General features: G+C 41.1%; 1 protein-coding gene across 10 annotated transcripts in view, besides 2 other annotated features; it reads left to right on the top strand.

Moving 5' to 3' along the window:
* Nucleotides 1–1,872: 1,872 nt before the first annotated feature.
* NSUN7 (NOP2/Sun RNA methyltransferase family member 7) overlaps nucleotides 1,873–22,752 on the top strand; it is a 61,230-nt gene continuing 40,350 nt past the window's right edge. For 8 of the 10 annotated variants that reach the window (XR_007057964.1, NM_024677.6, NM_001330648.3 and 5 more), the window contains exons 1-4: nucleotides 1,873–2,218; nucleotides 2,521–2,909; nucleotides 12,352–12,410; nucleotides 13,089–13,219. Coding sequence is in view for 7 of the 10 variants with exons in the window: in NM_024677.6 (NP_078953.4) it covers nucleotides 2,612–2,909; nucleotides 12,352–12,410; nucleotides 13,089–13,219 (488 nt within the window). In the remaining 3 variants the exon portion in view is untranslated. Of the gene's footprint in view, nucleotides 2,219–2,520; nucleotides 2,910–12,351; nucleotides 12,411–13,088; nucleotides 13,220–22,752 lie in introns of those variants that run through there. The other 2 variants (XM_047416172.1, XM_047416174.1) reach the window with 2 other exon arrangements.
* Nucleotides 15,276–15,325: an enhancer, noted in NCBI's record as "active region_21498". NCBI's record gives its function as "activates an Ori minimal core promoter by ATAC-STARR-seq in GM12878 lymphoblastoid cells {active_cell/tissue: GM12878}" and the evidence as "EXISTENCE:reporter gene assay evidence [ECO:0000049][PMID:35858748]".
* Nucleotides 15,496–15,625: an enhancer, noted in NCBI's record as "active region_21499". NCBI's record gives its function as "activates an Ori minimal core promoter by ATAC-STARR-seq in GM12878 lymphoblastoid cells {active_cell/tissue: GM12878}" and the evidence as "EXISTENCE:reporter gene assay evidence [ECO:0000049][PMID:35858748]".

The raw sequence follows: 22,752 nt of genomic DNA on the forward strand, positions 1-22,752 counted from the left end.
AAGATAAAGATAAAACAAGACTATTTTAGAGTGTGTGTGTTGTGTGGATAGAAAGATGGCAGAAGGGGGGTAATGCAGGTATGTACACGAATCTTTATAACAAAAATGAAAAGGTGACAAAATACAAATATATCCATCTTTAATTTCTTGAGGGCAAGGTCTTTGATCATTTCTTTTTTTTTTGAGACGGAGTCTGGCTCTGTCACCCAGGCTGCAGTGCAGTGGCCCAATTTCGGCTCACTGCAACCTCCGCCTCTCGGGTTCATGCCATTCTCTGGCCTCAGCCTCCTGAGTAGCTGGGACTACAGGCGCCCGCCACCACGCCCGGCTAATTTTTTTGTATTTTTAGTAGAGACGGGGTTTCACCGTGTTAGCCAGGATGGTCTCGATCTCCTGACCTCGTGATCCGCCCGCCTCGACCTCCCAAAGTGCTGGGGTTACAGGCGTGAGCCACCGCGCCCGGTCAGGTGTCTGATCATTTCTATACATTCATTATTTTACTTGTAGGGCTGAACACAATGCCAGGGACACAGCAAGAATTTAATATATACTTGTTAAACGAACGAATGAATGCATGTATACATAAAATGTTACGGAATGTTTAACGTATTCCGGGGATAATGAAAGTGGGTGGATTTCTGAGAGAAGGGGTCAGGGTTAGAGTTCTGTACTGCTAATTTTTTCCCCATTATCCATTCTCTCCTTCTTCTACAGTAATAGTTCCCTTATTTTTAGCTGGACACATTTACCAGCCTCTTGGTTGCTGGGTATATGACTGAGTTCTGACCAATAAAATGTGAGCCAAAGTGATATGTGCACCTTTCAGGTCATTGAAAAATATGGGCTGCCCTCTCTTTCCCCTTCATCCTACTAACCACTGGCTGGAAATGGAAATGGCCTTAGCCTAAAGAAGGAAGGGCAAATCCCTAAGGAGGAAAGGCAGAGGTGGAATTAGGACCAGTTGTCTTTCAACTATACCAGAGTTTTTCAAACTGTGGTCTTTGGGCTGATTGCATCAGAATCGCCAGTTACCTGATAAAAATGCAAATTACTGGGTCTTAGCAACTCAAATCTCTAGGATGGGTTCCAAGGATTTTTTTTTAGCTGGAGGCGGTGGTTCACGCCTGAAATCCCAGCACTTTGGGAGGCCGAGGAGGGAGGACTCCTTGAGCCCAGGAATTCGAGACCACCCTGGGCAACATAATGGGAACCCTGTCTCTGTTATTAAAAAAAATTATTACAGACGGCGCAGTGGCTCACGCATGTAATCCCAGCACGTTGGGAGGCCAAGGCCGGCAGATCACTTGACGTCAGGAGTTCGAGACTAACTTGATCAACACGGTGAAACCCTGTCTCTACTAAAAATACAAAAATTAGCAGGGTGTGGTGGCGGGCGCCTGTAGTCCCAGCTACTCGGGAGGCTGAGGCATGAGAATCACGTGAACCCGGGAGGAGGAGGCTGCAGTGAACCGAGATTGCGCCACTGCACTCCAGCCTGGGCGACAGAGCGAGACCATGTCTCAAAAAAAAAATTATTACTATATTTTAAAAATATTTTAAAGAATGTGTAGTTTTAACAGGGACTTCAGGAACTTGTGAGTTAAAACCACGGAACTACGTCAGACTACCTCAAAAATATCCCCAAATGTTTATAAACAAAGCCAAGGGCACGCACTCAGGCCCGGTGAGGTCCAGGAACTGTGCAAGAGGCCTCTGGCTCGGAGGGGCTGAAACAGGTGTCTCCGCGCGCTGGGGGAAGAGCGACTCTCCCGGCAACAGGTAGCACCCGCCAAATCCCGCGGGAACGGCCCTCGCGCCGCGCCCCCTGCCCCACCTCCGCTCGCGGTTGCCATGAAGACCCGGTCCGGGAGCAGTCGACTGCCGGAGACTCGGGAGGCTGAGCTTTCCTCGGCCTGAGCCAGCCAGACCCCGGGCACCGCGCTCACCCCTCTTCGCCGCCACGTCCGCGAAGGCCTCACGCGCGAGGCCAGGCGAGGCCCCGAGGCGCCCACCACTTCACGACACCGGAGCGAACCGGGCGCCAGAGGCTGCGACCCCCCTGCCCCGAATCCTGCCGGTGGGAGTGGCTGCATTTGAACCAAACGGCCTTCGCGGGCAGCAGCCGTCGCCCCGCAGTCCCGGGGCTCCCAAGGGCCTGTGACCGACGCCGCCCTCCGCGTCTTCGTCCCCGAAGCCCCGGGAACCATCCGCCCTCGGGGTAAGGGAGGAGTCGGGGGAGCCGGTGACTGGGCTGTGGGGACGCGGACGGGGCTCCGGGGGCAGCTCTGCCCCCAGACTGGCTTGAGGGAAGCCGTCGGTCTCCTTGGGGCTCTTCTCCCTCCGCCGCTGCACCCCTCCTCGCTTTTTTTTTTTTTTTTGAGCGTCCCAGGCTCGAAGTCTGGGACACTCAGATGGGACGGGAAATGCTCCCTCTTAGTCTTTAAGGCCACAACGAAGGGGGCCACCCACAGGGGTGCTGCAGAAAGAGTGATTTACTGCAATCACCTTCTCTCTTCACAGAGACCATGCTGCAGATGCGAGGAAAGCCGTTTCCTGGAACATCGGAATTCTAACCCCAGGGTGAAGGACTCACGACAGGCGAGGGGCAGACATGCTGAATTCCACGGGCGAACTGGAGTTTTCGAACGAAGAAGATCCCGAGATCATCTCCCAACTCACTTCCCTGCCTCTGTCCGGTGGGAAAAGCTCAGCTGGTGTGCCCGAAAAAACGGGCTATCCGGACTCCGTTTATGTCATGGCAGCCAACATTTTTCAGGGTATTCGAATCGAAAAGTCGGCACAGAAAGTCTTAATCAAGTATGGGAATGAACCCCTGCGGTCCTTGTCCGAGTCTGAGGATCAGTCCTTTCAGCGTTTGTCTTATGAGCTGGCTTTCAGTGCCCTGAAATGTGAGTTGTGCCAGTCTGGAAGATCAACACTAAAAGAAAATAATAGCGAGAGAATTTGGGGAATGCAGCCCTCCTCCTCCCTTCCCCTCATTCACACCAGGTTTTGGTTTTAGGCATGTGCATATCTTTGGTTAATTGCAAGTGTCAAGGAATTAGGGTTCCCATGAAACTAGCTCTTCCAGCCCAGGATTGCAGATTTCCCCGTGCACTGTGTTTGTCCTTAGATCGGTGTAGTGCGCGGTCATTACATTCAACAAGGAAACAATTTATTCCAATGATCATTTCCCTCTCCCTGTATTTTTTTTTCCCTCGTAGACTTAGGGGTCTCGCTTTATTGTCTGGGCTGGTCTCAAACTCTGGACCTCAAGGAATCCTCCCTCTTCAGCTTCCCAAAGTGCTGGGATTACAGGCAGTGAGCCACCACGCCTGGCCTCCCTGTGTATTTCTTTCCATTCCCTGTGTTTACCTTTTTTGGTATTTTAGTTTATGAGCTTTCACAAATATAAAACCAGTGAGGGAGGATGGGGAGAGGAACAGAGACGGAATAAAAAGAAAAGGTGCAAAATTTAAAAAATGAATATCAAAATTACACCAACCCCAATTAAGACTATCCCATTCATAGCCACTAGCTTTAATGGGAGGAGCCAAACTTTAGTAGAACTTCCCTTTCTAATTTGCTTTCAGGGTTTGAGACTCAAGGATGGTTAGTTATCAATCTGAGGCCAAGGGTGGTTGCTCAGGCCTGTAATCCCAGCACTTTTCGAAGCCAAGGTGGGAGGATTGATTGAGCTCAGGCGTTAAAGACCAGCCTGGGCATATAGTGAGATCTCCTCTCTACAAAAAAAAATTTAAAAATTAGCCCAGTATGGTGGCACATGTCTTTAGTCCCAGATACTTGGGAGATTGAGGCGGGAGGATCGCTTGAGCCTGGGAGGCAGAGGTTGCAGTGAGCCAAGATGGTGTCATTGCACTCTAACCTGGTGACAGAGCAAGACCCTGTGGAATTGACACTAGGAAATGACCAAATATTGCTACTATGAGGAGAGCAGTCAAAAGGCTTGAAGTTGTTTGTTTTCGTACTAGCTGTGACTAAAAACTTTATGTTGGTTTGTAAACTGATTGAATGTAGTTCCAAAAAGAAGTTCCAGAAATGTTTAGAATATTAGCAGCATGGCCAAAATGATGAGCAGAAGCCTTCCTAAAGAGACACCTCAAAAAGGGCAACACTCTTTTGCATGATTTTCTTAGTACTTAATGAGCCTTGTACATCCTTGCTCGTAGGAGGCAGTTAATTACTCAGTTCAGCCAGATGCGGTGGCTTACACTTGTAATCCCAGTACTTTTGGAGGTGGAGGTGGGACGATTGCTTGACTTCAGGAGTTCAAGACAAACCTGGACAATATAGCAAGACCCCATCTCTATTTTTAGTTTTATTTTCTATTTTTTTGAGATGGAGTCTCACTCTGTCGCCCAGGCTGAAGTGCAGTGGCACAATCTTGGCTCACTGCAAGCTCCGCCTCCTGGGTTCACGCCATTCTCCTGCCTCAGCCTCCTGAGTAGCTGGGACTACAGGCGCACGCCACCATGCCTGGCTAATTTTTTGTATTTTTAGTAGAGACGGGGTTTCACGGTGTTAGCCAGGATGGTCTCCATCTCCTGACTTTGTGATCCACCCACCTCAGCCTCCCAAAGTGCTGGGATTACAGGCGTGAGCCACTGCACCTGGCCCCCCATCTCTATTTTTTAAAATTAAAAAAAAATGCTCAGTTGAATTAAAATGTCTCACTGATTATTTAGACAGGAATATATATTTTTGGTTGTCTGCAGAGAGTCTCTTTGTTTTTTGTTTCTTTGTTTTCTCCTCAGTAATTTTTCTTTTCCTTTTAAGTCCGTCTTAACCATTCTTCCTCCAGTTTAATCTCTGAGATTTTATTTCATCCATCTTCTTCCCCTCTCCCCTAACCAAAGTGTTGTATTTCATGCAATGAATCAAATGAACATTTTTATACTTTTTTTCTCGCAACAGTGAAATGCAGACTGGGCAGCTGTGTTGATTAATTGGCATTTAATGTTAATGCTAGAATTTTATTCTAGGCAATTTGTTCTCCTAATGGAATATTGAGTATTACCTTTAGTACTCAATAAGAAAAGCCTGAATTATAATTCTATATAAAATTAATGCATTAACTAAATGATTGTATTACAGTGATATGTGTGATAGATTATTATTTTTGTCCTCTCCCTCCTATTTTCTATTTTATGAAAGATCTTGTAATTATTTTATCTTTCTTTTTTTTTTTTTTTAGACAGAGTCTCACTCTGTCACCCAGGCTGGAGTGCAATGGCACAATCTAGGCTCACTGCAACCTCTGCCACCCAGGTTCAAGCACTTCTCTGCCCCAGTCTCCCAAGTAGCTCCCAAGTGGCACCTGCCACCACGCCTGGCTAATTTTTTATTTTTAGTAGAGATGGGGCTTCACCATCTTGCCCAGGCTGGTCTTGAACTCCTGACCTCGTGATCCACCTGCCTTGGCCTCCCAAAGTGCTGTGATCTTTCTTAATGACACAGAAAATCCCATTCAAATAAATTGTCATAAACCTTTATGAAACTTCTTTTCTTGAAACGTTCGTTTTTATAAGTTCAAATTATAAGGTAAGATGGTATTGTTTACTTGTTAAATATATTTTTTCTTATAATAATACGTTGATATGGTTTGGCTGTGTCCCCACCCAAATCTCATCTTGAATTCCCACGTATTGTGAGAGGGACCTGGCGGGAGGTAATGGAATCATGGGGACAGGTCTTTCTTGTACTTGTTCTCATGATAGTTAATAAGTGTCATGAGATCTGATGGTTCTATAAGGGGGAGTTTCCCTGCACAAGCTCTCTTCCCTTGTCTGCCGCCATGTGAGATGTGCCTTTCACCTTCCGCCATGATTGTGAGGCCTCCCCAGCCATATGGAACTGTAAGTCCATTAAACCTCTGTCTTTTGTAAATTCCCCAGTCTCGGGTATATCTTTATCAGCAGCATAAAAATGGACTAATACAACAGTCTTGCTTTAAATTATCAGTAATTCTTGAATGTGCAAATAGAATAAAATCAGAATTTTATGTAGTGGATTTTCCAAGATAATTAGGAGCCTGCTATTTTCCTTTTTTTTTTTTTTTGAGACAGAGTCTTGCTCTGTCACCCACGCTGGAGTGCAGTCAATCGCGCAATCTCGGTTCACTGCAACCTCTGCCTCCCAGGTTCAAGCAATTCTCTGCCTTGGCCTCCCAAGTAGCTGGGATTACAGGCACCTGCCACCATGCCCAGCTAATTTTTGTATTTTTAGTAGAGATGGGAGTTTCACCATGTTGGCCAGGCTGGTCTTGAACTCCTAACCTCAGATAATCTGCCCACGTTGGCCTCCCAAATTGCTGGGATTACAGGTGTGAGCCACTGCAACAAGCCATCTGCTATTTTACTTTTAAAATATTGGAGGCTCTTATGCATTTCACTTTTATCTTCTGTATTATCAGTGTTCTGTCAATACTTTCACATGTGATATTTTGTAAACTTACATCTGGCTTATACAGTATAAGTTCAAGGAATAATGATTCAGAAAAGAAAACTCAGAATTTCTTCCCTAAGATTTTATAGGAGCTGTAAAACTGCAAAGGTTATTGTGAAAATTAAAGAGAGCTTGAGTAATGGTCCCTTTTGTTTGTGAATTTGTGAACAGGTAATTAAATCACATTACCATAATATTTAAGGAGTAGGAGAAGAAAAACAATAACAGAAAATCTCTTAATTATACTAATGTTAACTGTATTCCTTTGGTTGTGTCTTATGCTTTTCAGTTTTATTGTTTGTTCCTTTGCTGATGTCCTTCATTGTATATAAGATCTTTCAAGACAGGAAGTATATTTATCTGATTAACCTTTTAAAGATTTAAAGCGCTCCGTAAAATGTTTTTTGAAATGAAGAGTGCCATTATTTCTGCTTTACCAAATAACCCCAAGGTCAATTTTCTGCTAACGAAGGTAGAATTACTAATGAAAAGTTGCCTATTCCTATTGAGAGTTTTGTCAAAGCAGTAGAGTACCAGTAGCCAATTAATTAATTAATTTATTGATGGAGTCTTGCTCTGTCGCCCAGACTGGAGTGCAGTGGCGCGATCTCGGCTCACTGCAACCTCTTTCTCCCAGGTTCAAGTGATTCTCCTGCCTCAGCCTCCCTAGTAGCTAGGACTACAGGCACATGCCATCACGCCCGGCTAATTTTTTGTATTTTTAGTAGAGACGGGGTTTCACCATGTTACCAGGATGGTCTTGATCTCCTGACCTTGTGGTCCACCTGCCTCGGCCTCCCAAAATGCTGGGATTACAGGCGTGAGCCACCGTGCCTGGCCTAAAATTTTTTTTTAAATAAAAACCTGGCAATTTTTTTTTAAAGAAATGAACAAACAACAAATTTAAAAAAAAATTGGAGAAAGAGATATCCCTGAAATTGCTTATCTTTTTCCTGGCTTCTTTCTCCACCTTCTCTAGGTTTATATTTTTGTTGCTGAACTTCGAATCCCAGGAACTGATTGTAGCATTAACCTGGTGATTTCAGAATCATATAATCTGTCAGTGAGAAACAGTAAATGCTTAACATATGGTTTGGTTATAGCTTTTGCGAATTAGTAACTGTAGTCAGGGGTTCCTAAGACCACCTCCAGATTCAATAATTTGCTACAAGGACTGACAGAATTCAGCAAAGCTGTTATACTCATGGTTATAGTTTATTACAGTGAAAGGACAGATTAAAATCAGCAACAAGTAAAGGTACATAGGGCAGAGTCCAGGAGAGACTAGACGCAAGCTTCCTATTTTCCTTTCCCAGGGTGGTCTATGGAGAGCGCTTAATTCTCCCACCAATGATAAATAACAACATGAATGAAGCATTGTCAACTAGGGAAGTTCATCTGAGCCTTGCTGTTTGTTTAGCATTTTTATTGGGGGGTCAGTTTTGTAGACAAGGTGCAGTCGTGTGGCTGGCTGACCTTAGTTATTCAGTCTCTAGCTTCTTCAGAGACCAAGCCGATACTGTGTGGTCTAGGACCCCAGGAAAAAAAAAAAGTACCTTTGTCAGACAAGATATTCCAAGAACTTAGAGGTTATCTCCTAGGAACCAGTCAAAGGCCAACCGTTTCTTTAGAATATCCAGAGTTTGGCCACCCAGGCCTGCTGAGCAGGAAGAGGGCGAGAGATACCCCAGTTCCTTCTTCCAATTTCACCTGTCTGATAAACCCAATTTTTCTTTCATGGGGAGTAGTAAGAAAGGGTAGAGAGAGAGTTAAGGTGTTTCTCTAGGATAAGGCCCTCCACATGGAAACATGTAAAATGGTGGTTAAGAGATCCCTGAAGCAGACTGAAGAGAAGCTTTAATTAGTGGGGAGAGGGAGAGATAACTGGAGTTATTGGGCTGAATTCTATAATAGGCACGCTTTGCAACTTTCAAGTAAGTCCTGATAACCTAAATTAGGCATTATCGGTGTGGTGTATTTGGTTACTCTGGTTTGTCATGAGAATAATAAGAGGAAGGCAGCATAATGTTGTGAAGTGCACGTACTTTGGTGCCAGACTGCCTGGGTTTGACTCCTTGATCTGCTACTTGCTCTGTGACTATGAACACATTACTTAACTGTGCTGTGCCCCATTTCCTATGAAATAAAACAACCTAATTCATATGGTTGTTGTGGAGATTAAATGAATTAATATATGAAATGCACTTAGAACATTGTCAAGCACATAGAAAACATTATATACACAGTCCCCAATGTATGATGGGGGTCCTTATACTTTTTCCCCTTTACCATGATGTAAAAGCTATACACATTCAGTAGAAACCATACTTTGAGTACCCATACAACCATTCTGTGTTTTACTTTCAGTATTTAATAAGTTACATAAAAACAAACAAAAAAGGGCCAGGCGTGGTGCCTCATGCATGTAATCCCAGCACTTTGGGAGGCCAAGGTGGGTGGATCACAAGGTCAGGAGTTTGAGACCAGCCTGGCTAATATGGTGAAACCCTGTCTCTACTAAAAATACAAAAATTAGCCGGGCATGGTGGTGGGTGCCTGTAGTTCCAGCTACTCGGGAGGCTGAGTCAGGAGAATTGCTTGAACCTGGGAGGCAGAGGTTGCGGTGAGCCGAGATTGCACCACTGCACTCCAGCCTGGGCGACAGAGCAAGATTCCATCTCAATAAATAAATAAACAAATAAATAAACAAATAAGTTACAGGAGATGGTCAGCACTTTATTATAAAATAGGCTTTGTGTTGGATAATTTTGCCCAACTACAGGCTTATGTAAGTGTTCCGAATGTGTTTAAGATAGCCTAAGCTAAGCTATGATGTTTAGTAGGATAGATATATTACATGCATTTTTGATATACAATATTTTTAACTTATGATGGGTTTATCAGGATATAACCCCATGGTAAGGCAAGGAGCATCTGTATAAAGTATACAGTTATTCATGTTGATATTACTATGTGAAAAGGTAAAATTATATATATATATATAAAAATTATATATATATATAAATTGCATATATATATACACATTGTGTGTATATATATACATTGTGTGTATATATATATACATTGTGTGTATATATATACATTGTGTATATATATACATTGTGTGTATATATATACACACTGTGTATATATATACATTGTGTGTGTGTGTATATATACACACACACACACACACACACACATACATACACAAAAGTAATGCATTCTGCACAATATCAAAGGCATCCTAAAGGTGATACTGGTTTTGACAAGAGCCCTAGGGGGAAAAAATGCAATTATTGGGAAAAGGATGTTCTGTTCTCTTGTCGTTCATCCTGCCTCTCCTATTCCTGTTTTTGTTTGTTTGTTTGTTTGTTTGTTTGTTTTTGGGCAACGGAGTTTCACTCTTGTTGCCCAAGCCAGAGTGCAATGTCACGATCTCGGCTCACTGCAACCTCTGCCTCCCAGGTTCAAGAGATTCTCTTGCCTCAGCTTCCCAAGTAGGTGGGATTAGAGGTGCGCCACCACGCCTGGATAATTTTTTGTATTTTTAGTAGAAACTGGGTTTCACCATGTTAGCCAGGCTGGCCTTGAACTCCTGACCTCAGGTGATCCACCTGTCTTGGCCTCCCAAAGTGCTAGGATTACAGGCATGAGTCACCACACCCGGCCAGCTTTTTCTATTTCTTAGGAGTCCAGCATCTCCACTGCTCAAAGAGGTCTGCCAAGTTAGAAGTCCTTCTTTCTAATACTGTACTTGTTGTGAAAAAAAAGTACAAAAAGTATGAAGTAGATGGGAATTGGTTTGAAAGTACTAAGGATGTGAAACTGTAAACTTCATTTCCTTATAAGCATAATTACCTTGTGAAGTACAAGTACGTAATTGTGGCTAGAATGTGGATAACGAGTCCCAGAGGATTTCTATGGGAAAACTGGAGTCTGTGCTCCCAAATTAGTCACTTCTTTTTAGTTTTCCTATCTCCCAAATGAAATTTAGGCCAGGCATGGTGTCTCACGCCTGTAACCCCAACACTTGGGAAGCCAAAGTGGGCAGATCACTTGAGGCCAGGAGTTTGAGACCAACTTAGCCAACGTGGCAAAAACCCATCTCTACAAAAAATACAAAGATAATATTTTAAAAAACAAAAAATAAAAATAAAAACAATAAAAAAATAAAAAATACAAAAATTAGCCAGGTGTGGTGCCACACACCTGTAGTCCCAGCAACTTGGGAGACTGAGGCAGGAGGGTTGCTTGAGCCCAGGAGGTGGAGGTTGCAGTAAGCTGTGACAGCACCATTGCCCTCCAGCCTGGGTGACAGAGGAAGACTCTGTCTCAAAAAAAAAGAAAATTCATGAATTCAAATTCAAGGTATAAATTCAATTTATACCTTGGTTATAGTAGGCTTTCCATAAATATTGAATAAATTGAAGCTAGGCATGCCTACCTTTCTGTTCAACTGATTAAAGCATTTGTTATACGCCGGGCACGGTGGCTCACGCCTCTAATCCCAGCACTTTGGGAGGCCGAGGTGGGCAGATCACCTGAGGTCAGGAGTTCGAGACCAGCCTGGTCAACATGGTGAAACCCTGTCTCTACTAAAAATACAAAAATTAGTTGTGATGCTGTGATGCACACCTGTAATCCCAGCTGCTTGGTAGGCTGAGACAGGAGAATCATTTGAACCCGGGAGGTGGAGGTTGCAGTGAACCGAGATTGTGCCACTGCACTCCGGCCGGTGTGATAGAGCGAGACTCTGTCTCATAAATAAATAAATAAATAAAATAAAGCATTTGTTATATGATGTATATATAGTTTAAGTAGTCGTACCAAAAAGAACACTCGTGTTCCCTGTGGAAGTTTTTAAATATGTCCACTTGTTTCTACGTAACCGCCTTTGCAGTTATCATAACCTCTGCCTGGAATGCTGTCCCTTCCTAGATATGCACATGGCTAACTCCTTGTCATTTGGGTCTTAGATTAAATGTCATCACATCAATGTCTTCACTATTGAGTTTTACTAAATAGTTAAGAAATAATACCAATCTAACACAAACTCTGAGAGAATAGAGGAAGAGAGAACAGTTTCCACTCATCAGCTGCAAAACTCTGATACCAACACTGACAAGGATATTACAAGAAAAGAAAATTATAGACCAACATCCCTCATGAACATGAACATACAACAAAAATTCTAAATAAAACATTAGCAGCCGGGTATGGTGGCTCATGCTTGTAATCCCAGCACTTTGGGAGGCCTAGGCGGGCAGATCACCTAAGGTCAGGAATTCGAGACCAGCCTGGCCAACAGGGTGAAACCCCATTTCTACAAAAAATACAAAAATTAGCCAGGTGTGGTGGTGCATACCTGTAGTCCTAGCTACTCTGGAGGCTGAGGCAGAATTGCTTGAACCTGGGAGGCAGACGTTGCAGTGAGCTGAGATCGCACCATTGTACTCCAGCCTAGATGACAGAGCAAGACTCTGTCTCAAAAACAAACAAAACCAAAAAAATTAGCAAATCAAATCCAGCAATACATAAAAAGAATAAGAAAACTATTGCTCAACATTATTAATTAGATCCTCTTTAATATTTTTCAAAGGCCATACATTAAAGATTGGAATCCTTTTATTACTGCTTTGACTATTCAGATAATGCTTCTTTAACTATGATTCCATGCGGACCCTAGGTCATAAAGGTCCAGCATTCATAAAGATTATAAATATTTCATCATGTCACTGTAATTTAAGTCATTATCCAGAATTGAGGTATATTTTAGATATGAAAGTAAATGTATTTTATGGCATTATTACAGTGTATTTTGATTCCAGAGTTTTCATTTTCCGCTTTGTATTTTCAGTAACAGGCCTTTCCCTTGTTTTGCAGATCAAGATATTTTGGAAACTATATTGATAGACAGCTGTATCTTCCCAAGTACCACAATAGTAAGTAGATAAGTTTTAGAATTACATCGTTTCATGATTTTTTTTAAAAAAGAAAGTGTTTAAAAGCCTTTAGATTTAAATAGTTTGAGGCCGGGCGCAGTGGCTCACACCTGTAATCCCAGCACTTTGGGAGGCCAAGGCGGGCGGATCATCTGAGGTCGGGAGTTCGAGACCAGCCTGACCAACATGGAGAAACCTGGCTCTACTAAAAATACAAAATTAGCTGGGTGTGGTGGCACATGCCTGTAATCCCAGCTACTTGGGAGGCTGAAGCAGGAGAATTGCTTGAAAACCCAGGAGGCAGAGGTTGCAGTGAGCTAGATTGCGCCATTGCACTCCAGCCTAGACAACAAGAGTGAAACTCCGTCTCAAAAAAAAAAAAAAAAAAAGATTTAAATAGTTTGCTGAATATTGAAACCTCTTAAATCTTAAATATAGATTCCTTTCAACTTCTAATATCATTCATTTTGGTGAACATACCAAAAACTGTCTCTTTTGAAAGGGTTTTTTTTTTCTGGATTTTTTCTATTTTGAAGACCTTCCCAATCCAATCAGACTATGTAAAAATAGTCGTATTCCTGCTCTGTTATGAAAAATAATGGAATGGAATGGAATGGAAAATATTGCTGGTTAGATATTGTTTGTATACTTTTCTTTATATATGTTTTCCCTTGTTAGCCAGATCATTTGAGCAGTCTTATTATTGTGATGCTATATGATTTCCAAGATAGAAAATTTCAAACTCGTGTCCTTTCTGATAATGAAGAGCCCATATCAGAAGTTCAAGAAGTAGAGAACCTTCTTAACAGGTAATCGTAAAAGTGAAAAGAATGTTTTATATGAAACCTACATTGGTATTGTTATTGGTAAAATTACATACAGTATAATGTGTAGATAAGAGTTAAATTTTATAGGGAAAAATATAAAAATTCATAAAATTCTTGAATTTCTTTACAAACAGTCTTGAACAGGTTAAGAATTTTGTTTGAAATCAATTTGTTTTTCAAAGCTTGAATTACAAGATCCAGTATGTAAGCATGTGAGAAATCATTAAAAATTCTCAATAATTTTTAGCACATAAATTAAACTGTATTTGAAACAGCTACTAATTGCTTAGTTCACTTTATTTATAGCTTTGTAAAACAAAGAAAACATCTAACATGAATCAAATGAGAAAATTCCAACAGTAGACAAGAATCAACTATTTTCCCAAAGTAAAGAAAAAAAAATTCTACTTAAGAACAAACTAACATCTTAAATTTGTTTTCTTTTTATCCTAAATATCAGTAGAAGTCTACCATGAGAATAAGAAGTTTCTACCTCAAAGGGTAGATGGGACAGTGGATTAAATTAATGCATGTAAAATGCTCAGTTAGAACCAGACATAAAGTAAATTGGTCAGTAAATGTTAAGTGTTACTGTTTGCTATGGTTTGAATGTGTCCCCCAGAATTCATGTATTGGAAACTTAATCCTCAGTATGACAATGTTGGGAGTTGGGGCCTAATGAGAAGTGTTTAGGTCATGAAGATTTCACCCTCATGAATAGATTAATGCTATTATAAAAAGGGCTTGTGAGATGGGTTTGCTCTCTTGTGCTTTTGCCCTTCTGTGTTCCACCATTTGATGATGCAGCAAGAAGGCCCTCACCAAATGCCAGCACCTTGATTTTGGACTTCTCAGCCTCCAGAACTGTGAGAAAATAAACTTCTGTTCTTTATAAATTAGCTGGTCTCAGGTATTTTGTTATAGCAGTGCAAAATGAACTAAGATACTGTTGATTCCAGCTTTTAGTTCTATGTTGTTGAACTTTAATAGAAAGTACAATGTAGCAACAACAACAATCTTGTAGGAAGATTTTGGCTTAGTGAATAAGTGAATAATCTGATTGTTACTGTCAACAATTGTCACTGTGATGTCTAATTTTTATAGGAAATTTAAGCAGTTTTATTTAAATTATTGAAGGCTGAGACCAGAAGATTCAGGTAATAGTAATGATAATAATAGCTTACATTTATTGAGCACTTAATATGTGTTAGCCACTGTTCTGAGAAGCTCTTTACGTAACAATTCTATGCATTGGTTACTGTTACCAACCTGTAATTTTACACATGGGAAAAATGAGGAACAGACAAGTTAAAGCAGGGGTCCCCAACCCCAGGGCTGCAGACCAGTACCTGTCTGTGGCCTGTTAGGAACTGGGCAGCACAGCACGAGGTGAGCAGCAGGTGAATGAGAATGACCACCTGAGTTCTACCTTCTGTCAGATTAGCAGCAGCATTAGATTCTCATAGGAGCGTGAACCTGATTGTGAACTGCACATGGTGAGGGATCTAGGTTGCATGCTCCTTGTGAGAATCTAAGGATTCATCTAATTAGATGATCCTTATGAGATCATCTAATGCTTGATGATCCTTATGAGATCATCTAATGCTTGATGATCTGAGGTGGAACAGTTTCATCCTGAAACCATTCCCTCCACCTTCCCCCAGTTCATGGAAAAATTGTCTTCCACGAAACTGGTCCCTGGTACCAAAAAGGTTCGAGACTGCTGAGTTAAAGGGACTGTTTAATGCCACAGAACTGGAAAGGGGAGTAGCCAGAATTCACACTCAGGAGTGACTCCAGAGTCCAAACTTCAACCATTTATATGCTAGCATTCCTTCCACTTAGCATAGTGAGGCTTGGCTGAGGTACTCTGGAAGTTTAGAACATAGTCATATCTCATGTCAGTGTCATAGCCATGAGAAATCACAGGATGGAGAAGAGCAAAAGCAATCAGATGTATGTACTCTCTGTGTTAAATAAGTAAGGATCTTGCGCCTGTTTACTTTGTGTCTGGGGGAAACCACCTTATTGCTAGTACCAGTATTAGGCAGCCTGACTCCCAGGATGGGCATTCAGAGGAAACTTGGAGCAATATGCTATGGGACAGGCTCCGAGTTTCAGTTTCCTCGTGCTTCTCCTAGTTTCTGTTTGACATAGTCAGGATTTAGGGGACTTTCATGTCTGAACTTAGTCTCAGAGGGGCTGATGACAGCTGGGGTTATGCTGAGTCAACCAAGAAACCCACAGGGCTCTAACCAAGTAAGAAAGATTACACTGTGGTTTCATCAGAAGTAGACTTTAGCTGAGGATGCTGGTGAGGAAAGTAGGAGTAGGACAAGCAAAGGGCCTGGTTTAAGAGGTCAGAGGAACCAGAAGATATTAATGTCTAAGGATTCCTGATTCCCCAGATTTTCCCTATTCCCATAATTCACATCATGCTACTACCTGCCTTAACACATATTCTGGTTACATTGTTGTCAGTGCAGTTGTTTTTTCCCATACCCAAACCAATAGAATTTTATGCATTGCAAATCTTATTGCTAGGAATTAATTTAGGAATCTTATTCCTAATCAGTCACATTGTACTCAATTCACGTTATACTCAATTCATAATATACTATAGGAGAAATGCCTATGTTTAGTGATTGAATTGTGGAGAAGAATAGTAGCACATTGCTGAGAAAATACATGTACAAAGATGCCACAGTATTTTACTCGAGTCTTCTTTGTTTTTTTTAATTTTTTAATTTTTTAATTTTTTTATTTTATTATTATACTTTAAGTTTTAGGGTACATGTGCACAATGTGCAGGTTAGTTACATATGTATACATGTGCCATGCTGGTGTGCTGCACCCATTAACTCGTCATTTAGCATTAGGTATATCTCCTAATGCTATCCCTCCCCCCTCCCCCCACCCCACAACAGTCCCCAGAGTGTGATGTTCCCCTTCCTGTGTCCATGTATGTTCTCATTGTTCAATTCCCACCTATAAGTGAGAACATGCAGTGTTTGGTTTTTTGTCCTTGCGATAGTTTACTGAGAATGATGATTTCCAATTTCATCCATGTCCCTACAAAGAACATGAACTCATCATTTTTTATGGCTGCATAGTATTCCATGGTGTATATGTGCCACATTTTCTTAATCCAGTCTATCATCGTTGGACATTTGGGTTGGTTCCAAGTCTTTGCTATTGTGAATAGTGCTGCAATAAACATACATGTGCATGTGTCTTTATAACAGCATGATTTATAGTCCTTTGGGTATATACCCAGTAACGGGATAGCTGGGTCAAATGGTATTTCTAGTTCTAGATCCCTGAGGAATCACCACACTGACTTCTACAATGGTTGAACTAGTTTACAGTCCCACCAACAGTGTTAAAGTGTTCCTATTTCTCCACATCCTCTCCAGCACCTGTTGTTTCCTGACTTTTTAATGATTGCCATTCTAACTGGTGTGAGATGGTATCTCATTGTGGTTTTGATTTGCATTTCTCTGATGGCCAGTGATGATGAGCATTTTCTCATGTGTCTTTTGGCTGCATAAATGTCTTCTTTTGAGAAGTGTCTGTTCATATCCTTCACCCACTTTTTGATGGGGTTGTTTGTTTTTTTCTTGTAAATTTGTTTGAGTTCATTGTAGATTCTGGATATTAGCCCTTTGTCAGATGAGTAGGTTGTGAAAATTTTCTCCCATTTTGTAGGTTGCCTGTTCACTCTGATGGTATTTTCTTTTGCTGTGCAGAAGCTCTTTAGTTTAATTAGATCCCATTTGTCAATTTTGGCTTTTGTTGCCATTGCTTTTGGTGTTTTAGACATGAAGTCCTTGCCCATGCCTATGTCCTGAATGGTAATGCCTAGGTTTTCTTCTAGGGTTTTTATGGTTTTAGGTCTAACGTTTAAGTCTTTAATCCATCTTGAATTGATTTTTGTATAAGGTGTAAGGAAGGGATCCAGTTTCAGCTTTCTACATATGGCTAGCCAGTTTTCCCAGCACCATTTATTAAATAGGGAATCCTTTCCCCATTGCTTGTTTTTCTCAGGTTTGTCAAAGATCAGATAGTTGTAGATATGTGGCGTTATTTCTGAGGGCTCTGTTCTGTTCCATTGATCTATATCTCTGTTTTGATACCAGTACCATGCTGTTTTGGTTACTGTAGCCTTGTAGTATAGTTTGAAGTCAGGTAGCGTGATGCCTCCAGCTTTGTTCTTTTGGCTTAGGATTGACTTGGCGATGTGGGCTCTTTTTTGGTTCCATATGAACTTTAAAGTAGTTTTTTCCAATTATGTGAAGAAAGTCATTGGTAGCTTGATGGGGATGGCATTGAATCTATAAATTACCTTGGGTAGTATGGCCATTTTCACGATATTGATTCTTTCTACCCATGAGCATGGAATGTTCTTCCATTTCTTGGTATCCTCTTTTATTTCATTGAGCAGTGGTTTGTAATTCTCCTTGAAGAGGTCCTTCACATCCCTTGTAAGTTGGATTCCTAGGTATTTTATTCTCTTTGAAGCAATTGTGAATGGGAGTTCACTCATGATTTGGCTCTCTGTTTGTCTGTTATCGTTGTATAAGAATGCTTGTGATATTTGTACATTGATTTTGTATCCTGAGACTTTGCTGAAGTTGCTTATCAGCTTAAGGAGATTTTGGGCTGAGACAATGGGGTTTCCTAGATATACAATCATGTCATCTGCAAACAGGGACAATTTGACTTCCTCTTTTCCTAATTGAATACCCTTTATTTCCTTCTCCTGCCTAATTGCCCTGGCCAGAACTTCCAATACTATGTTGAATAGGAGTGGTGAGAGAGGGCATCCCTGTCTTGTGCCAGTTTTCCAAGGGAATGCTTCCAGTTTTTGCCCATTCAGTATGATATTGGCTGTGGGTTTGTCATAGATAGCTCTTATTATTTTGAGATACGTCCCATCAATACCTAATTTATTGAGAGTTTTTAGCATGAAGGGTTGTTGAATTTTGTGAAAGGCCTTTTCTGCATCTATTGAGATAATCATGTGGTTTTTGTCTTTGGTTCTGTTTATATGCTGGATTACATTTATTGATTTGTGTATATTGAACCAGCCTTGCATCCCAGGGATGAAGCCCACTTGATCATGGTGGATAAGCTTTTTGATGTGCTGCTGGATTCGGTTTGCCAGTATTTTATTGAGGATTTTCGCATCAATGTTCATCAAGGATATTGGTCTAAAATTCTCTTTTTTGGCTGTGTCTCTGCCTGGCTTTGGTATGAGGATGATGCTGGCCTCATAAAATGAGTTAGGGAGGATTCCCTCTTTTTCTATTGTTTGGAATAGTTTCAGAAGGAATGGTACCAGTTCCTCCTTGTACCTCTGGTAGAATTCGGCTGTGAATCCATCTGGTCCTGGAGTTTTTTTGGTTGGTAAGCTATTGATTATTGCCACAGTTTCAGAGCCTGTTATTGGTCTATTCAGAGATTCAACTTCTTCCTGGTTTAGTCTTGGGAGAGTGTATGTGTCGAGGAATTTATCCATTTCTTCTAGATTTTCTAGTTTATTTGCGTAGAGGTGTTTGTAGTATTCTCTGATGGTAGTTTGTATTTCTGTGGGATCGGTGGTGATATCCCCTTTATCATTTTTTATTGCGTCTATTTGATTCTTCTCTCTTTTTTTCTTTATTAGTCTTGCTAGCAGTCTATCAATTTTGTTGATCCTTTCAAAAAACCAGCTCCTGGATTCATTAATTTTTTGAAGGGTTTTTTGTGTCTCTATTTCCTTCAGTTCTGCTCTGATTTTAGTTATTTCTTGCCTTCTGCTAGCTTTTGAATGTGCTTGCTCTTGCTTTTCTAGTTCTTTTAATTGTGATGTTAGGGTGTCAATTTTGGATCTTTCCTTCTTTCTCTTGTGGGCATTTAGTGCTATAAATTTCCCTCTACACACTGCTTTGAATGTGTCCCAGAGATTCTGGTATGTTGTGTCTTTGTTCTCGCCAGTTTCAAAGAACGTCTTTATTTCTGCCTTCATTTCGTTATGTACCCAGTAGTCATTCAGGAGTAGGTTGTTCAGTTTCCATGTAGTTGAGCGGTTTTGAGTGAGTTTCTTAATCCTGAGTTCTAGTTTGATTGCACTGTGGACTGAGAGACAGTTTATTATAATTTCTGTTCTTTTACATTTGCTGAGGAGAGCTTTACTTCCAACTATGTGGTCAATTTTGGAATAGGTGTGGTGTGGTGCTGAAAAAAGTGTATATTCTGTTGACTTGGGGTGGAGAGTTCTGTAGATGTCTATTAGGTCCGCTTGGTGCAGAGCTGTTACTCAAGAGTCTTCTTAGCTTTCAAGTAATTGAAGCCATCTTCACTTAGCTTGAGCAAAAATGGAAAAGAAAGATACTGGGATATCTCATACAACTCAAGGACTCAGGAAGAGAATGAAATCAGGAACTGGAAAGATGTTAGGACTTTAATTTGCTTTATCTCTTTATCTTTTTATCTCTGCTTCTCTCGTAGTATCTGCTTCATTTTTTTCCTCTGCACATCTGCCTACTCTGCTTTTCTAGTCTGCATGGAGAAGGCCCTACTGTTGTACCCCAGTACCCAAGCTTATGTTACAGTTGTATGCTAGTTTCTTCACTGAGACTAACTTATTATCTTACCTCCCATTTCTAAATTCCTGTGAGAGGAAATTCGATTGCCTCAGTGCAGGTCAGGTGCAGTCTCTCGAGCCAATTCCCTGTAGCCAATGAAGTGGTATTCTAAACCACAGAAAGACAGCAGGAAGCCAACTCTATCTGCCTTCTAGGGCTTGAGACTGTAGTTCCCAAGGAAGTTCAGTCACTGTAAGCTCAAAGTATACCTTAGCATATATCTACTTAGAGGATAAAGACTAATTCTTTTTTTTTCTTTTTTTTTTTTTTTGAGACGGACTCTTGCTCTGTCGCCCATGCTGGAGTGCAATGGCACAATCTCGGCTCACTGCAACCTCCACCTCCTGAGCTCAAGCAGTTCTCCTGCCTCAGCCTCCCAAGTAGCTGGGATTACAGGTGTGCGCCATTATGCCTGTGTTTTTGTAGAGATGGGGTTTCAGCATGTTGGCCAGGCTGGTCTCAAACTCCTGACCGCAGGTGATCCTCCCGCCTCGGCCTCCTAGAATGCTGGGATTACAAGTGTGAGCTGCCGTGCTCGGCCAGATAAAGACTAACTCTAAGAGGTTATAGAAGAAGAAGTAATTAGCAAGAAGCTGAATGAGAATGATTTCCTCCTTGTAAAAGTGGTTTGACCTTTGTTGTTGTTCCTCCTGGGAATCCTTGTGTTTTTTCACTCTTATACCCCTAAGCACCAACATGTATCTTTTTCTTCACTTATTCGTGGGTTTAGACATGTAATCCAAGATGATACCTATTATCATTTTTTTTACATATGAAAGGTCTTTAAGAACCCATTCTTTGTATAAAATGTAACTGTCTTTTTAATACTGTGTGACCAGGTTAAAAAAAGAGAGACCACAACCCCTTGTTTCTCACTCCCCATGCCTTTCCACCAGCCCAATAATCTATTTCTATTAAATTATTTGTTGGACTGTTGTGAGGCAGCAATTGGAAAATAAGCAGTGAAAAAGTAGAGAAAGGAGGGGAAAGACTTAGTCAGTTCTTCTTCCAAACCACCCCAAAACCATTTATTCTGATGTCTTCCACTTCACAGCTAAGGCATCACCATCTACCTAGACATCATCCTTGATTCTTCTTTCCTCCCCTCCCCTGCACTCAATCTGTGTCTAATGCATCAAGTCCTGTAACTCCAATTCAAAAACATACACTGAGCCTGTGTGCTTCTTTCCATTTCCACTACTACCATCCAAATCTATGCCACCATAATCTATCACTTGGACTACCATGATAGCTTCCTTAGATACATTTCCCTGGCCTATAACTCTCACTTTCCTGCAATCTATTCCACATGGCAGGTAGAGTGATATTTTCAAAATGTAATTGTATGGTCATGATAGAATATCTTGGATCAGTCTTCCCCTTCTACTGTAAACAACTAGAAAACTGGCCAAAATATATCATAGGACGTAAAGGTTTTGGACATTAGACAAGAAGCAGCACAGAAACCTGATCCCTGAAAGAACAAAACAAATGAGGTGAGCCCTAGAATAGTCCTGGCTTTATGCCTGGAAGAATTCTCAAACTGCAATGCAGAAAGTAGAAAACAGCAGTCTTGCTGAGTTAAGAAAACAGAGAACAGTTTTAGAAGACTGAAGTGATTGTTTTTCTTCTTTATTGTATTAAGTGGCCAGGTGATTTACATTGACTGGTTTATGAATGTTAAACCAGCCATGCATTTTTGGGATAAGGCACATTTGCTCAGATATATTCTTTTTCTTATCTTCCCCAGTTTCTCTCATTCCCCATAATGCTCCAGAATTTCTAATTGCCAAAATGCCCTTTAAATACTTGTTCATGGGTTTTATCTCTCACATTCTCTCCGCTCCTTCTTCAGAAACTCTTCACCTGTTTCACTTACCTAGTAAAGAGTCTGAAGCAGATGACTGATTTTACATTTTTCTGGGAAATTCAAGCAGTTCATTGAAGATTATCTTTTGGCATTAAGAAAATGCAATCAAGGTCAGGCGTGGTGGCTCACGCCTGTAATCCCAGCACTTTGGGAGGCCGAGGCGGGTGGATCTCCTGAGGTCGGGAGTTCGAGACCAGCCTGGACCAACATGGAGAAGCCCCATCTCTACTAAAAATACAAAATTAGTCAGGCGTGGTGGTGCATGCCTGTAATCCTACCTACTTGGGAGGATGAGGCAGGAGAATCACTTGAACCCGGGAGGCGGAGGTTGCAGTGAGCCAAGATCATGCCACTGCACTGCAGCCTAGATAACAAGAGGGAAACTCCATCTCAAAAAAAAAAAAAAAAAAAGAAATTGCAATCAAGTGTCACTTAATGATGGGGATACATTCTGAGAAATGTGTCGTTAGGTGATTTCTTCTGATGGGAACATCGTAGAACATACTTACACAAATCTAGATGGTATAACCTACTGCACACCTATCCTATATGGTATAACCTAGTGCTCCTAGGCTACAAACCTGCACAGCATGTTATGTACTGAATACTGTAGGCAATTATAACACTATGGCAAGTATTTGTGTATCTAAACCTATTTAAATATAGCAAAGGTACTACCGTAGTAAACTTTTATGGGACCACCATCATAAACAGAGTTCATCATTGACCTAAATGTCATTATGCAGCAGATGACTTTATTCAATTTATATTTAAAGAGAACCACAGTTCTGATATGTTAGACATTAGTAATGCCATTCAAAAACTTGAGTCAAAAACTACATAAATATTTCTGAAAATTTAAAAAATGTAAATGTATATTACAAAAAGCCAAAAGAAGTAGTAAAAAGCCAAAAAAGAGTAATATCAATTTCATTTAAAAATAAACTGAGGTGGCTGGGCACGGTGGCTCACACCTGTAATCCCAGCACTTTGGGAGGCCAAGGTGGGCGGATCGT

Source organism: Homo sapiens, chromosome 4 (genome assembly GCF_000001405.40).
Source record: "Homo sapiens chromosome 4, GRCh38.p14 Primary Assembly".
Taxonomy (NCBI): domain Eukaryota; kingdom Metazoa; phylum Chordata; class Mammalia; order Primates; family Hominidae; genus Homo; species Homo sapiens.